The sequence below is a fragment of the Homo sapiens genome, chromosome 13 (genome assembly GCF_000001405.40).
Source record: "Homo sapiens chromosome 13, GRCh38.p14 Primary Assembly".
In the NCBI taxonomy this organism is placed as follows: domain Eukaryota; kingdom Metazoa; phylum Chordata; class Mammalia; order Primates; family Hominidae; genus Homo; species Homo sapiens.
This window is the reverse complement of record NC_000013.11, coordinates 108978210-108996293: the sequence shown is the minus strand read 5'-3', so window position 1 is coordinate 108996293 and position 18084 is coordinate 108978210. Positions and strand designations below refer to the sequence as shown.

Genomic DNA, 18084 nt, shown 5'->3' with positions numbered 1-18084 from the left:
AGAAGTCAGTTGTTTGTCCTGTACAGTTTTCCACACACTGAAAAGTACCACTGGAAGTACCAAATTACTGCTGAGCTATGTGAACTATATTTTTTACACTAGTATTGTACTTATTATAAGAAATAATTTTGCTATTGTGAATAGTGCCGCAATAAACATACATGTGCATGTGTCTTTATAGCAGCATGATTTATAATCCTTTGGGTATATACCCAGTAATGGGATGGCTGGGTCAAACTGTATTTCTAGTTCAAGATCCCTGAGGAATCGCCACACTGACTTCCACAATGGTTGAACTAGTTTACAGTCCCACCAACAGTGTAAAAGTGTTCCTATTTCTCCACATCCTCTCCAGCACCTGTTGCTTCCTGATTTTTAATGATCGCCATTCTAACTGGTGTGAGATGCACTATTCACAATAGCAAAGACTTGGAACAAACCCAAATGTCCATCAATGATAGACTGGATTAAGAAAATGTGGTACATATACACCATGGAATACTATGCAGCCATAAAAAATGATGAGTTCATGTCCTTTGTAGGGACATGGATGAAGCTGGAAACCATCATTCTCAGCAAACCATCGCAAGGACAAAAAACGAAACACCGCATGTTCTCACTCATAGGTGGGAATTGAACAATGAGAACACATGGGCACAGGAAGGGGAACATCACACACCAGGGCCTGTTGTGGAGTGGGGAGAGGGGGGAGGGATAGCATTTGGAGATATACCTAATGTTAAATGACGAGTTGATGGGGGCAGCACACCAACATGGCACATGTATACCTATGTAACTAACCTGCATGTTGTGCACATGTACCCTAAAACTTAAAGTATAATAATAAAAAAAAGAAATACTTTTGAATAGAAATGATTCGTTAATTCTGCTATGGTCTGAATGTGTTCCTCCACAATTTGCCAAAGTGATGGGATTAGAAGGTGGGGCCTTTGGGAGGCGATTTAGGTCATAATGGCGCCACCATCCCGAGTGAGATTAGTGCCCTTAATAAAGGAAGCCCCAGAGAGCTGCCTTGATCCTCCCTCATGAGTGGATGTGGCAAGAAGGCAGCATCTATGAAGCAGAGAGCCCTCACCAGACACCAAGTCCACTGCCATCTTGATCTTACATTTCCTGGCCTCCAGAACTGTGAGCGATAAATTTCTGCTGTTTGTCAATTACCTCCTCTAAGGTATTTTGTTCTAGCTGCCTGAACTGACTAAGATAAAGTCAGAGAAAATGCGATCAGAATTTCCTATTAGCTGTAGTATCTCATCTTTTAGATGAGAATCCATTTAATCTTTTGGAGCTACTGGAGGAGACTGAGGTTGGAGATGCTGAAGTTTTGGAGTGTTTCTTAACATCTCCTCAAATGTGTCCCTACTCTAAACAATTGTCAAGCTTCCTGTGGAGGAACAATTGTCATTTATTCCTGAACAAGAAGAACCACTATGAAATCCACTATGAAGACTTTTTTCTTAGGAGTTTATTCTTCTTTAAACTTCAATTGAAAACATGTTCGTTGAACTTTTATTATATACAAAGCACAGACACAATTTCAACTCTGCAGGAGTTGACGTTCGAGTGAAGAACTGATGGATGGGTCAATAAGCGCAAAACAGAATAAAAAACATATTATAAAAGCACTAATATTCTTCTAGGTTTGATTCTGAATACAGCATTGATTTGTTAAGCATTTTGTTGCAAGTTTGTAGTGGAATAAAAGACAAAAAGTCCAGCTTCTGTTAGCAACACAGAAATCTAAAATGTATCGCTCAAACCAATGGTCTTAAAAAAAATTACATGCAAATTTGCACTCGTCAAAAGATGAGATTTGTACTTATCATAAGATGAGATTTGCACTCATCACAATGGAAATAATTTTATTCTTCTAAATGACTCCTAGTTGCTTTTGTACACAATAGCAAAGCAAACCTGTTAAAAATTATATATATATATGTGTGTGTGTGTGTGTGTATTTCAAATTTTTTTCAAAATTTAAGTCCCAGAATTGTTCTTGAGATTTTTACCCATAAATGCCTAAAGCTAGCTTTTGGCATTTAATAGAGACTGGCTCTTTAGATGTGAAAAAAATGCCATTACTATTATACAGAAATCTCAGGCTGTAAATGTATTCCAAAATAAATCATAAAAATATTTAGCAAAAGAAGGACTAATAAGGGATTTATATAATTGTAGTAAAATAAATATGTTTCAGTAAGAAAATAACTTAAAAGTTTTGCACGTATTCATCATTAGGACACTCTATTGACAATTATGTCTGGGTGTGGAGTTGCAGCTTGTGAGGCAAGTCCCCTAGCAGACTTTAGAGGACATCATTCCATCTGTAATTTCTACATGTCGCTTACCAGGAGATGGATAAACCAGTGACTCTCATTGCAGACATGAAAGCTTGCCTGTTTTCTAAGATAATAACATAAGGAATCTCTACTGATGCCAGACAGCTTCAAACCCTTGAGCTGAGAGATGCACCTTCTTAAGCACCCTGCAGACCCACATATATTGTCATATATTCTATTGGTCACACTCAACTGCTTTCTTCCTTATGTTCATCATTACTTTTCTCACAGTAAGCAATAAAAATAAACACATGAAGTATCTCCTTTTCTATTAATCCACAGAAAACTATGAAAGGAGAAGAGATCTATTGCCTCTATAGTTCTAGTTCAAACTAGACATTTTGTGAAGTTTTGTAAGGAACGTGGTTCGTGCTGACTCACCCTGGATTAGGTAAGTCAGCGTAATTAACATCTAAACACAGGATGATGCAGAGCTTTTCTAAAAATAAAATTGGCCAATTTTTAAGTTATTAAAGTGCTCCCATTTGCAACAGTAACGGGTAGGTATCCATCATTTCTTAATCATATACAGTATGAGAGTAACTGACACGAGAACCTGTTTAATTATGTTTAATCTCAGAACTCTGTAAGTCTATTAACCTGATTTTACAAACAAGAAAACCAAAGTTCACTATAGAGTCTTCATCTTGGCCAAGAAATCGACGCTACTAAAAGTCACAGACTTGCATCTCAAACACATTCTATTTAATTGTTTATCCTACCACACCACCTTAAGAAAATAAAGCTAAACAAATTACGTAACTATGAAAATTCCTCCCAAATGCTATGGAGTTGTAATTCTTCCCGTACTATAATGTAGCTTGGTTTTCTATTTTTTCATGTTTACCTTCCTACAGGTTGACTTTTCTCCTCTGTTTGATAAGGAGAGTTGTATTTCTACTGTCTTTATTAACACTTAGTTTTTAGGTATACTTAATAAAACTATTCATGCAGTGCTATTAAGATGACTACATAATTTAATACTTTTAAAATGCCCCAAATTATAGATGGATTAAAAACAACCCATGCCTCTCTAATGTATTTTTATGATTTTCCAATAGTCCTATGTATGAATGTCATATGGAGATGAATCTACAAATAACAGCATGTAGCATAACAGAGCATTTTCATTCTGATGTTTAGCCAAGGTTTTTGAAAGCCTTTGCCTTATTTCAAATATTCATGTTCTCCCTTCTCTCTGACCTAGTTGAAATAGCATTTCCATTAGCACAACTCTGGTCTTCATCTTGCATTGTCTTTTAAAACAAGTGATTCTGCTTTCAATGTGTGACTATGCCAGTTGTTTACAAGACCACATAAAATGGTTAATATATTGATAAACCAGAGATATTAATTTTAAAACATTAGAGTACTTATTTTAATTCCATATTTGTAAGTAGTTACACTGTCTTTACAGAATTAAAAAAAGAACTTAGTTTCAAAAGCCATTCAAGTTCACACAATTTTAAAAGAAAGACTACTTACTTGTTCAAATTCATTCTTTTGAAACTCTTCAAAACCAAAAATGTCCAATATTCCAATATCCAATGTCTGCATGCTGAAACAAAACAATACACCAGGATAAATGGGCATCCTTAAAACTCCTTCATGACCCTCTTTTCATTATTCAGGTCAGAAGAATCCAGCCACTTAGCACATTGCTGCCAATTTGGACTAAAAATGTGAAATAATTATTTTAGAGTCTCATTAAAAAAAACTCTGAAAGTTAGCCCCCCCAAAACTGTTATTTTAATGCTTTGATTCAAACACATGCACATTTATAAAAACACATCGTCTTGTAAATCTGTTTTAAGTTCCTTATAGATGCTGGATATTAGACCTTTGTCCAATGCATAGTTTGCAAAAATTTTCTCCCATTCAGTAGGTTGTCTATTTACTCTGTTGATAGTGTCTTTTAATAATCTGTACAACAAACTCCCATGATGCAAGTTTACCTATGTAACAAACCTGTACATGCACCCTTAAACTTAAAAATTTTAAAAAACAAGAATTTGAGGCCAAAAAAACCAAAAACCAAATTGATTTTAAATTAAAAATGTAACACTATGTGGGTGATTTAATATTTGCTTCTCTGAAATAGTTCTCGTGGCTATCTCCTTAGGTTGGACTTCTTTTCCCTTAAGGAACTGAGCCTACATGTCAAGTGGTCCTCACTAGCTATACTTGTGTCTTCTCATGCTATGCAAGCAGTGAGTCAGGTGGTCCTCACTAGCTATACTTGTGTCTTCTCATGCTATGCAAGCAGTGAGTCAGGTGGTCCTCACTAGCTATACTTGTGTCTTCTCATGCTATGCGAGCAGTGAGTCAGGTGGTCCTCACTAGCTATACTTGTGTCTTCTCATGCTATGCAAGCAGTGAGTCAGAACTTTCTCGTCACACCCAAGTGCGATGTAAGGTAAAACACAATTAAGTCACATGCATGTTCTTTGATGGATCAAATTTAGTCACTTTAAAAGTTCTTCCAGAAGTAATTCTTTTAAAAGAAGAATGAAAAAAGCAGAACTTTTGAAGGATAATTTAAAGAAATCAATCTTTTTTTTCAATGTGAACTATCACTCTTGGAAATAGAATTTACTACAGTTACAGATGATAAAAATCTCAAATGTCTGAGCCCACTTGGTAAGCAAGGAAAGATGTAAGACAGGCCCAAGTCAATGACAGCCACTCTAGCAATGGTGATCAGGTGAAGAGGGTTACATGGAAGGCAGGGAAGGGTAGCATGGGGACGTCGGCATGAACTTGCTTCTTGCAAGGAAGCCCAGAGATAATTCTGGAATTTCTGGGAGGGGCACGTACCCCACCTCTTCCACATCATTGACGTATAGTATGAATGGGACAACTGCTGTCGTAATTTTCTGCCAATGGGTACGCTATGGGTACACTGTTCTGTTATTATTATAGTTCTTATAGGATCAATATCCATTATTTGATTGGTCGTTAAATTGTTATTTCCTTGCTTTTTCCAAACGGCAGAACAAAACTGGCAACCACCTCAGTCTTTGCACTGTATTTTGTTTTTCACGTACAGTACATAATTATAATCCATGAGGGTCTATAATACATCACTTCAATGACCATTTTTTCTCTAAAAATGTAGTCATAATTCTGTAATATCCTGTCTGTAATATTTTTTGTTATATATGGTAGAATATAAGCTTCATAAGTAGGAGGGAGAGAATTTTTTAAAAGCCTTCGTACAAATTTCACGGTAAAGAATATAATACAGTGAGAGAAAAAAAGAAATCATTCAATATATTTTCCTAATTGACTTAGTTTATAAGAAGAAAGAATAAAAATAGCTTTATAACTCATAGTGTGTACAAATAAACTCTACATGGATTAAATGTTAGAACAAGAAATTAAAATGGTATAAGAAAACAAATGCAATTTTTTTTTCTGATTTCAGTTTTGGGAAACCTCAAAATAAGTGTTTTAAACTATTGAACACTTTTTCAACTATTAAACTCCTTTGCAGGATAAGTAATATAAATAAAACTGTTTCTGTTATAGGTAAGTGTTATGTAAAAATGTATTGTGTCATTCGTTTTGATCACTATTTTTCAATCTGCTGATATGTCTCTCCAGTTTTCTGTTCACCATCCAGCATCCATGCATCCTCCTCTCCATCCTGCCCTCCTTATGATATGCACAAAGAGATGTCTGGAATGATGTTCATTCAGTGCTAACAATGATGCTGAGGCTTAGCGTGATTTTTTGTTTGTTTTGGTCGTGTGTGTGTGTGTGTGTGTGTGTGTGTGTGTGTGTATTGTCTGTGTGATGAGCTGCATCATTTTTCTTAAAGCAGTTTGGTGATAAAGTTTGTCAGACTTTGGAGATGTTCAGTCTTGGGGTAGGTTTAAATACTTTTGGGTTGGTTAACTTTAGACAAGTTACTTAAATATTTTGAACTGGAGTTTCATCATGTATACAAATAGGAGACCAAGTAAAATTTGTCCAGCTAGATCATTGCTAGAATTAGAGGTGATGCAAAGTTCTAAAACAAATAGCTGTTATATAGTGTTTCCAAAAAGTTGCCTCTTTTTTAAAAAATAAGTTTTTTAAAAGTATCAATCTTATTAAAATTACAAAGAAATACAATCTGAAAAAAATTAGAATGAGAAAGATATTTTCCTATATACTTTTTCTGACAGTTTAAATCGGTAGAGCCTTCCTCAAAAACAATTTAGTTATAAAGCTTTGCAATATTCATATCATTTGAACCAGTACTTCCATATATAGGAACCTATTCCAAGAAGACTATGAGAAATGCTTTTAAAGACTTATCAACAAGGATGTTCATTGTTATCTTAATTACTATAACTACAAAAAGAAACATTTATTTATATCCCACACTAAAAACACAATTAATTAAATAGCATGAACCCTATGATAAATTAAGAAAGCAATATATAAATTCTGTATAAAGAATAACCCCAATTATATATCCAGAAGGCCTGGAAAGAAATAGAGTGAGCCTTGAAAGAGGAAATGGAGATATTGCTTTGTTTACTTCTTTTAACTATTCCCCACTTTCTAAGGTTTCTATATTGAAACATATATTTTTATAACCAGCAAATATTTCATTGATGTGTATATAAAGGTAATATGAAAACATAGGAAATGTTCATGAACAACATTAATCCCAAAACAAAAGCCAGAAACAAAATGTATACCTTTAGTATTCTTAAAGTATAATTTGAACTATGTCAAATAAACCTAAGCCACAGGAAAAATAAAATCTATGTTAACAGTACCTGTAATAAGATGGTAGACCTGGAGGTGATTTCTTAATTTCTTAAATGTTCTATACTAGTATTATAAGAATATTTATCTTTAACCTCATTTAAAAAATATATTTGGGCATTTTCTAATTTTGTAGAGAAAATTGACACCAATAACCTTAAGGGCAGAGAGGGGATACTAGAGCCCCATCGTGGTAGGAGAAAAGTGTCTGGTTTTGCCAGTGGTAAGAGATGCTGCCGATGCAGGGACAACTTCAGGAATAAGGAGAAAAAGCACTGGGTCTCTCCCCTGAAGGCCGGGTGCTGGTCCCGAGCACAGATGCCTCTCTATCCACTGACATCAGGGTCCCTATGTCAGGCTCTCAGGTCCGATTACCCTCCTTGCTTCCCAGTTGACCTTGGCAGAAGAGACCCTATAATCATGGCATATTGTTTTGATAGAATTTAGGGAAAAGAGCAGCAGAGATCAGTGACACCATGTCACTTCATACCTACCTCCCTCCCTTACAAGGATGGCAAATTGCATCAACACACAGAGAAGAGATTATTTGGCCACTGTGGCATGTGTGGGTGGGCAAAATCATTAAAGGATGGGTTCACATTGGGGAAAGTGAATTATTAATTGGTAATTTAGAGTGGCATACATTTGATTGGAAGGGTATTCCTCCTAAATGCTTTTTTTCACATTTTATAGATACTGAATCCAAACATATTTGGTTTTAAAAAAAAAAGAAAATTCCATTGTCAGGAGAAAAACTAAATGCAAGTTTAAAGCATTTTAAGGACGACTTTTGCAATTACTGACAGGCATAACATGATCATTTAAAATAATTTATTTCATCATTTATGACTGAAATATGCGTCTGTTACTGCAATAGCAACATTGGCAGGATAGTAATAAAAACTTTCAGCCAGCAAAACGCCCATACTACGTAGCAGTTGACCTGACTGTCATTCCCCTTATTGATATCTGACTCCTATTCCACAGGCATTTAACTTAACATTCAATTTCTGACAACTGGGAGCAGAGAGGTCATGTGATCCAGCCAAGACTCAATCCTATAGGCAAAATTAACATATGAATTAGATGATCTGTTTCAGTTCAAATTCTGCCTTAGAATTCTCCCGAGAGCTTTCTTGATAGTTAACAAAACTGTCAGCTTGCATTGACATATTAGTAAAATGCAACACCCTTTACATCAGACAAAATATTAAACGCCAAGACATCAGTCTGGTTTTCATTTTACCTTTTATGTAGATAGATATAGAGTGGAGAAAGGACTGAATTAAAGAGAATGCCTATCTTAGAACACGGGTAAACTCACTTCATCTGAGCAGAACAATCTGATGGTGTGTACAAGGCAGCTTTTGTCCTCAATTATCCTCAGGCAAGGAGATTCCCTAGAGAGTTCTCCAAGTAGTCAGTTTAGGAAGTAGCTTAACCCTGCTTGGCACAAAAACCCTTAGACTGAGTTAGACCAGTAGGACCCCAGATGGGGCAAGAATTAAATATAAACACATTCCAGACGTGAGCAATCTTGTCCAGACTTACTGCCCTTGGGATCAGCTGCACGTACATAGAGGCTAGTGCCAGAAAGTCCCTGGAGATGCCGAGCTATGCTATGGCATTCACCAACTGCCCTGTCAATATGCTGATTTATTCATTTACAAAAAGTTTTGCTTTCCTTAATTGGCCTGATGCCTCGCTGTGGAGGTGAACCCTGCTTAAATCTTACCTTATTTCAACCTCTCAGGGTGTTTTTTAGTCTATGAGAGAAACTTGGGGGGAAGAAGTGGGACTCTAGGATTGCATACTTTTGGGGGTTCCTCTCTTTTATTCTTTGAAGAAAGTACTTGAGACTTCTCACTTTCTGCAACCATGCCAGAAATTATGGAAAGCCTTTGCAATTCTGACAGTTGCACTAGAGGCTGGGAGTAACCAGAGAGGCCGTCCGGCCTTCTCTATTCTATATGGTATTGTACAAACTAGCATCTTCCTAGATGCAGTCATTCCCTGCACCTTTCCCCACAGAAATATATGTTAGGAAGTACAGAACTGCGGACCCCTTGCGAGGAACATTGCAGTTAATTAGACTTAGAGAAAATCCAGGATGTAGGTCAACACTGGAGTCCCGTGCACAAAGCACTGTTAGGAGCATTTAAAAATGCCTCTCCTCATTTAATCCTAGGGAATACTGAGATACAGAATGGTGAAGTAAGCTGCCCCCAAACACAGATGAGTATTAGATAGACCAAGCATTTGAACTTGGCCATCTAGCTGTAGGGCCTGTGTCTGTAAGTTCTATGAAGCTCTGCAGAAAACTATTTCCAATTGGTGGTCTTACACCCGAGTCTAATTCTGTTCTCCTCAGAAACCAAAAAGGGCACTGTCTGCATTTGAGATAAGAAAGTGAGCAGTTCATCAATAACTGTAGTAGTGAGAAGAGTATACATAATAACAGATCAATTATATCCTTCATATTAGTGAAAGCCACACTCAGACTTTAAAAGCCTGAATACTATCTTTTTTTTTTTTTTTTTTTTTTTTGAGACGGAGTTTCGCTCTTGTTGCCCAGGCTGGAGTGCAATAGCACCATCTCGGCTCACCACAACCTCCGCCTCCCGGGTTCAAGTGATTTTCCTGCCTCAGCCTCCTGAGTAGCTGGGATTAAAAGCATGTGCCACCACACACAGCTAATTTTGTTTTTTTAGTAGAGACAGAGTTTCTCCATGTTGGCCAGGCTGGTCTCAAACTCCTGACCTCAGGTGATCCATCCACCTCAGCCTCCCTTAAGTGCTGGGATTACAGCCATGAGCCACCATGCCCAGACTACATCTTAGTCTTTATGGAGATTACATGTATAAAAATATACTGAACTTTACACATAACGTGCACTGTAGCTATGTTCTACCTTGATATGGTTTGGCTGTGTTCCCACCCAAATCTCATCTTGAACTGTAGCTCCCATAATCCCCATGTGTCATGGGAAGGACCCCTTGGGAGGTAATCGAATCATGGGGACAGATTTTTCTCACGATAATCTCATGATAGTGAATAAGTCTCACGAGATCTGATGGTTTTATAAAAGGTGGTTCCTTTTGCACACGCTCTCTTGCCTGCTGCCATGTAAGATGTGCCTCTGCTCCTCCTTCGCCTTCTGCCATGATTGTGAGGCCTCCCTAGCCATGTGGAACTGTGAGTCCATTAAACCTCTTTTTCTTAATAAATTACCCAGTCTCGGGTATGTCTTTATCAGCAGCGTGAAAACAGACTAATACATACGTCAATAAAACAGTAGAAAACAAACAAACAAAATGTATGCTCACTTGGATCACAACTATGCACTGTGATAGATTATTAGATAAATATTTGTTAAATGAGAAGCACTTAAATGCAGATTCATTTTGGCAATGCCAAATCAAACACGATGTTAGAATAGTGAAATTATTACGGTTGGCTCTGGCTACTACAAGAAGCTCAAGCATCATCTATCAGTAGAAAGATATCAGCAAGGAAGCAAATTACCAGCAAGATGTTTGAGTGGCCCAGAACTTCAGGAAGAACTGAAAATACATTCTTCATGAAGTTAAATACACTGACCGCCGTATTTTTCCCACTAGTGTTTTCACTGATCGTTAAGAGTTATATCTGGTCTCCTCCCACGTCTGCTGACACGTCAGCTACATGCTACGCTGTCAAAGCGGAGGTCCACTTCTTGGGGGTATCTTCAGTATAATGACTTTACTCCTTCCCACAAAAACGATAAATACTTCCTTGTGTTCAACCAATTATGTGGATGTGAGTCAGCGAGACAAACTAGAGGGAGGCTGCTTGCTGCTGATGTATGTTGTCAAGGAGGGATGGATTTCCTGACCATGCACGTCAATTAAAGAAACACAGCATGAATAAAAGCTTTAAAAAACCCAAACAACAGCAGCACGTGAAGTCAACTCAGCTGTCCACTACGTGTGGTTTGTACTTGCTATCTCAAAGTCAGTGACCAACTCTATTATTCTGCATCCCATACAATAACACAGAGTGGTTATATCTACATTCTTTTAAAAAAATGAGTCTGTATCATTGTATTTGAACAACTTTTGGTAGAAAGGTGAAGTCAAAATGAAAACTTATATGAAGATGCAGGAAATCTGCAGCTTATTTGTCTTTTCAAGGAAATATTAATGTCAGTATTATATCAATAAGAGACTTCTTTCCTTACTGTCTGTCTGTGTCAGTTTGTAGATGACTGTGGGACAAGGTTCAGCATCAGGATTCAGGACTCGGAATCAAGTTAGCCCAGTGATCTTTAAGAGATCTCATGCCACAAAAGGATCCACGCACATTAACATAAGGATAGGCTTGAAAGGAGACTGAGCCGTGAGGTGTATTTGAAGTTTATGTGTTGGTTTTTGACAAACCTGAGGGTCACAGAGAAGATGGTGAGTCAGAGGATATGACCAAGGTCTGTCAAGGAGTGCTCAGGAAAATTGTAAGGAAACTCAAAAAGCACGAAACCCAAGTACATGGGTCTGGTTTAGAGGCCAGCAATTCAGGATGACAGAGACAAAGTTGGGACCCCAGCAGGACTAATCTGGATAGGTGGGGTGGAAGATTTCTGTGATTGTCAAAGAAAAGGTATGATTACCAACCACTGAAAAGAGAGTTTTCCCTATGTCTGAATCCCTTGTGTGAATGAATGAACAAGTTCTAGCAGGCACATGCTACCCTGCAAGAGAAAGCCACGGCAAATGTATGCGGATGGTGACTGCAGGAAAGGCAGGAATCCAGGCTCTCCATGGAGTTCTAGTGCTTCTCTGGGACTTGGGCTTGTTAAGGTCGATGCACTGGGAGAGGCAAGCTAATCCAGGTCATGGGTATGAGGATTTCTAAGAGTGATCTTCTGATTTGCAGGCTTCAAAATTCACCCATTAATAGTGGTCCTACCAGTTCTCCTAAGACCTCAGGACCCATGGAATTGGATGCATTTTTAGCATAATTTGGGTTGAGGAAGGCCAATTCAGAGGTCATTCATTATGGCAGAAAGTAGTGAGAATCCATTTGCAGAAAGAAAGTTTTGTGATAGAGCAGAGTGAAGACTTTGTACAGCTGCTGGCTGAGCCTTAAGGGTGGCTTATTGAGCTCTGTGAATATTTTAGAAGCATTCACAGAATAACTAGTTCTTCTCAGGGATGAAAACCTTTCCAGGCTGATAAATTCTATTTTGCCTTTTCCTGATGTTAGATCAGTATAGTAGGAGTGCTATAGGTAGTTGGGTCAACTTTTACTAATGAGAGGTGAGGGAGGACTCAACATAACTGTTTTGCAAATGGAAGGAGAAGACTGTGGGCACTTCCTCACAATTTCAACCTGTCAATTAGAAAGTCCTGTAAAGCCTCACCATGCCCTTCAGTCTTAACAATTAAGAATGGAAGGCATGGAACCTATTCCTCAGGCAGCGTTTAGTCTATTTGGAGAGCAACAAGCTGGGAGAGGTCATCTTCACTTTTATTAACATTGAATTGCTTGCCTGCTTCCGCTCACAGAAAGCAGCAGTCTCCGAAGGCACATAGCATTTTGGGCTCCAATGTTCCTAAATATTTTTAAATAGGCTATTGAAGAGTTTTTCAAGTGTGTCCTCAGTTCTATGGCCAACCAAACCTGGCTACTCTTTATCTTACGTTCAAAGCTTTTCAGTCCATTGGACTTTGTGCTGTTTCAAGAGAATGTGCAACTCTTTTTTGGACAACAGGCACTCCCTTTCTTGAATTTTAAAATTTGTTTCACGGAAATCTTGGATGAATATCCCACAGAATGTTCTCTGGGAAACACTGTCCTGGGGCTGATCACTTTCTTCCTCCCACGGTTCTCACGTGAGATTCAGATGGAGAAATGCATTGGTAAGAGAGAAGGAGGAAGACAGGAGAGAGAAAGAGGAGAATGGAGAGATGAAATCAATGGTACAGATGGTATTTGTTTCCAGAAATATAATTTTGATTTTACTTTGCATGGTATATTTATTTTGTACTTCAAACCAATTAGAGAATTACAATCTACCTTTCTTGTTTTGATTTAGTCTTTGGCCTTAGAGCTCACACATATTATCAATAAAATGTTCAAATATTACTGGCAGTCGGGAGACGGATATCAATTGAAAAGGTTTTTTTTTCTTAATTAAAAATGAAAGAAAGTGTGGCACTAAATCATTCCAATTTTAGCCATCCCAATCAGAAAACTGACGGTGTCTTGGAGTGCTATAATGTATGGATTGGTCTGATGTATCCAAAATGTATTTTAAGAGCATAGGATATTTGAGTGTTACTGACAATTTCAAACTTATCCTAACTAGGAATTATAGACTCATAGGTCTTAAGATCAAAAACAAGCCAAAGAGATATGTAGGCTAAACCTCCATCTGTAGGCAGATGGGATATGATTATCACAATTTTAGGGATGAAGAAAATTAAGATTCACAAGACATAAATGTTTAACTAAAGATTTCATTAATGTTAAGTAGTAGGCTCAGAATAGGAATCCAGATCTTTTGCTTCCTATTACCCTTTAAAAAATTAAAACCCAATTAAAAGATAAAATTACTGTATATGCATGTAGACAAAATTTGAAAGCTGCATGCCATTTCAACCCAGTAGCTAAGGGCTACAGTAAAAGTGCTGTTTACTTTTTTTTAACTTATTATGCTTTTATTAGTACAGTTCCTTTTCTCCCTTAATTATCTTCCAGCCCAAACGCTCCTTTTTTATTTTTTATTTGGGTTTTTTAAAAAATAAGTTGTATGTTAAAGTAAAAATAAAGTGTATGTTAAAGTAGATAATATGATGCTATGAGATACACATATATAGTAAATGGTTATTAGAGTGAAAGTAATTAACATGTCCATCACCACACATAGTTAGCCACGCCCCTGCCTCATGGCAAGAGCAGGTATAATCTACTCATTGAGCAAAATTCCTGAATACAACACGCTGGTATTAACCATAGTCCTCATGTCCTATATTAGTCCTTTCACTTGTTCATCATACATATTTGCTACTTTGTATCCTTCTATCTCCATCTCCTTATTTCATTTCCTCCAGGGGCTTCTGGCTACTAAGTATTTTACAAAGCACTTCTGGATCTTTCTGCAATCTAGTACAAGTACTAAAAACCAACAGTCTTCATTACCTGAAGGTTTGGGATTTTAATGGCCCAGAAGATGACAGACCAAAGAGTCTGAAAACACTGGGAAGGCAGATAATCTCAGAATCTCCCAAATCACTCATAAAATGGAGAGCTGTCTTTTCAATAATGACCTTCAAATGTACATACAAAAAATGTGTGGTTCCAAGTAACAGCTATGAACATTGAATTAGAGACTTGTAGCAAGTCAATGTTTCTAGATAACCAAGCACCACAAAACTCAGTGACTTAAAACAGTAAGTAGTTATTATTGTTCATAATCGTGTGTGTCACCTTGGGCCGCCTGGCAGACATTAGCAGGTTCAGGATGACCTAACCCAGCGGCCCCGCAATTGGCCAGCTGAAGGCTGGAGCAACACGAGTGTCTGTCTCATCTTCCAGCAGGCCAGCCTGGCCTTATTCACATGGCAGTGACAGGGGTCAGAGGAAGCAGAATCAGGCAAGGCTTCGGAATTGGCACACCATCATTGCAGTTGTATTCTGTTGGCTAAAGCAAGTCACAAGGCCAGCTCGAATTCAAAGGGAAAGGAAAAAGAATTAACCTCTTATAAGAGAAGCATCAAACTTATATTGTACATGGCATGGATGCACAGACTAATAAAAATTGGGATCACTTTTTTGCAGTTTACCACATGACACTTCTCTTGATGATGGCATTTAAGCTAGGCTTTATTTAACTATTGTATGAGTTCATTTATCATTTCAATAAATGCATATTGAGCACCTTGATTGGGAAAGCACTGTGCTGCATGCTGGAGATCCAGAGAGAAAGGAATACAGGATAACCTCGCCTGCGGGGCATGTCCATATTCACATAAATTTAACTTTCAAAACAATTTCATTTGAAATAAAGAAATTACCTATATTTTAAAGGGTTATTTAGAAAACATTTGAGCTTTAAAACTAATCTTTTTTATCACTATTTTGATGGTCATCAACATGGGAGGCATTTTTGCAAAAACTCAGGCTTTTAAGTCTGGCATACTGGGGTTCATATCCCTAGCCCATCATTTTCTGGCTGTGTGATTTGGGCCATGTACTTAATCTCTCTGAGTTCCATTTTCTTTATCTGTAAAAGGGAGACAAGAATGCCAACCTCATAGCTAATGTCAATGTAAACTGTAATAATCAGCAGCTCCAAGACTATCTCATTTACAGGTAATATTCAAAAAATAATAACCACAATAATCGTAGCTTCACAACTTCTCACACCTCCACACATAAAGATGCCAGGCTTGGAAAATGTATTTTCCACTAGACAGTATGTGAAGAGAGAATAGTTCAAAGTTTGAGGCTGACAAAAACTGAAAATGTCCTTTGTTGCAAAGCACATCCTCCTCAATTAGAAAATTACATTCGAAAAAGGCAAACGATATTTAACTAGTGGTACTGACATTTCCTTCCTGGTGTTTTTTTCGGGGACAGACAGGGTCATGGAGAGCCAAAAAGGGACATTCTGCTCTCCTTTCTGTACGGCACTGCAGTGTTATTTATTCTGGCAGAACTGCCACTATGCTCAAATGACAGGCACAGAGAGCATAATAAACAAAGATTCGGCTAACTCTATTGAGCAGGACAGTTAACAGGGGTTGAAAAGAGGCCAAATGCATTTCCCCAGTTAGAAATGAAACAAGAGCAGGAATAGCTAACAGTGCAATGAATTTTTTCCTTTATATAAAATATACAAGCTTTAGCCTCTGCACTCTTGGCTCAAGAAAGAGCTAGCAAAACAAAATGCTAAATGGATTTTTTGGCCTTTTAAATCATTGCATTTCGTATACATTTTATTATTAAAACTATGTGGCTCTCAATATTTGTAATAACATATTAGTCATTAACAGAAAGAAAACACTAATGTTTAATATAAAAAATGACATATTCTCCTAGATCTGATAAATCTATTTTCCTCTCCATCTCCTGAAAACATGTACTTAAGGCAAAATACATAGTTCTTTATTGGGTCAATAAGCTACACTATTGTTGAAGCAATTTATCATAGATATCATGATTAATATTTAAATTTAACCACTATTTTGTCTATAGCATACTTTTTTAAAAATAATGAGTGGCAAAATTTTAACTATTATGTTGTATTTATTATCTGATAATTTAAAGTTATTTTTAAGTATTATAATCTGTATGATACTTTGGTAAAACCCCAATACTTTTTTGTTCCTCTATATTCTTCTTTTTGAAAATAAAAATGGTCTCACAAAGTAATGAAAAAACAAATGCACAATTGCAGAGAAAAGGTTTTTAGCTCTTGAGGAAATCATTATACATATGGGTATTTTGGTAAGGAAATGGAGCAGAAGGGGGATTATTTAGAAAGCAGGTTTGTCTCCGATATTTGCTAAATTGTGTAGTTTGGGTTGTCATGGTAATAAGCAACATGATTTAAATAAGTCTACACAGAAATAGAAGTCACTCATACTATATTCATAAGAATCAAAGAAATCTCATTATTTAATGGTAAAAAAATCCCCAGTTTGGATGAAGAAGGGAAAAACATGGTGTGTCAAATTTATTTTTCTGACAAACTGCTTGTTATTTTATCTCTGAAAGAACATAAAGACAAAATATTTAGAACTAAACAACAAAGGAAGCACTACAGATAAAACTTCTGGAATATACTAAGAGGTATTTAGGAGATGATACTTTATAGACTCAGGAAAAAACATCATTGGAAACTATGAAACAAATATTCAGCTCATGAATTCAGGAAAAAAAAATCACCCAAAAAGTCAAAATTCAAAGAAAGGAAAAAGAAGGATATAATAAAACTACAGAAAATATATTTTTGAAACTTCAGAAATTAATTAAAATAATATAAATGTGAAAGTGACTAAATGAAAATATGATTCTTGAAAATAATTTGCATAGGCAGATTCTTGAGCAATAATTATCAATGATCTTGGGGACAATGCATAAAGAAACAGTATCAGGAATGTAAATGTCAAACTACAGTTGAAATAGAGATTAAAAGATTACTAAACAAAGCTAGCTATGATTTAGCTGGTGAATAAATTAAAAATATCAAAGTGGATGAAATTCCAGAAAATATATGTGAGTCAAAAAAGAAAGAAAATAATCTGAATCTATAATATACATTTTAAAATAATCAGTATCCAAAAGCCAACTCTCCTTTCAAATGCTCAGAAGATTTTAGGGCGATTTCACCAGACATTAAAGGAGTATATGATCTTCATTTAGTACAAACTGTTTTGGAGAGAAAAAACAGAGGAAGAAAAGAGAAAGCTACCCAACCTACTTTTAATGTAAATTTGATAGCAACAGATTGTATAAGACAAAAACAAAAGAATCTCATCTCACTAATGAAAATAAATGCGAACATAAATAAAGACTAGAAAACAGAATCTAGTATATCATGAGCAAACAGGGTTTGCAGTATAAATGAAGAATGATTCAACATCAAAAAATAAACATCAATGCAATGTCTCACAAGAGCAAAGGAAAGAAGGAAATTGCTATGATCTTCCTAATAAAGAAAGAAAACCATTAGAAAATATTTGTATCCATCCATGATTGAAAACACTAGGCAGAGGTTATTTACTGGAATGCTAAGTAAATGTATTACTTAATGGCAAATATTTAGTTGCCATTATTTTGTAAACTAAACAATAAGATCCATTATCATCACAAATTTCCCACATGTATTGGCAGTGCTAGCCAATGCAATAAAATAAGAAGAAGTAAGATACATAAAGACAAAAAGATAATTACGATCATTTACATAAGAAAGTAG

At 36.5% G+C, this 18084-nt stretch overlaps 1 protein-coding gene across 7 annotated transcripts in view, besides 1 other annotated feature; it reads right to left on the bottom strand.

Annotated features, from left to right (window-relative positions):
- Nucleotides 1-18084, bottom strand: part of MYO16 (myosin XVI) — a 712290-nt gene that overhangs the window by 211712 nt on the left and 482494 nt on the right. For all 7 annotated transcript variants that reach the window (XM_011521062.2, XM_047430183.1, NM_015011.3 and 4 more), the window contains one exon: nucleotides 3846-3918. In XM_011521062.2, the coding sequence (XP_011519364.1) occupies nucleotides 3846-3918 (73 nt within the window). The remainder of the gene's footprint in view (nucleotides 1-3845; nucleotides 3919-18084) is intronic.
- Nucleotides 4178-5377: an enhancer, noted in NCBI's record as "BRD4-independent group 4 enhancer chr13:109643265-109644464 (GRCh37/hg19 assembly coordinates)". NCBI's record gives its function as "activates an origin of replication core promoter dependent on BRD2, P300/CBP, MED14 and CDK7 cofactors, and independent of BRD4, by STARR-seq in HCT116 cells {active_cell/tissue: HCT116}" and the evidence as "EXISTENCE:reporter gene assay evidence [ECO:0000049][PMID:35650434]".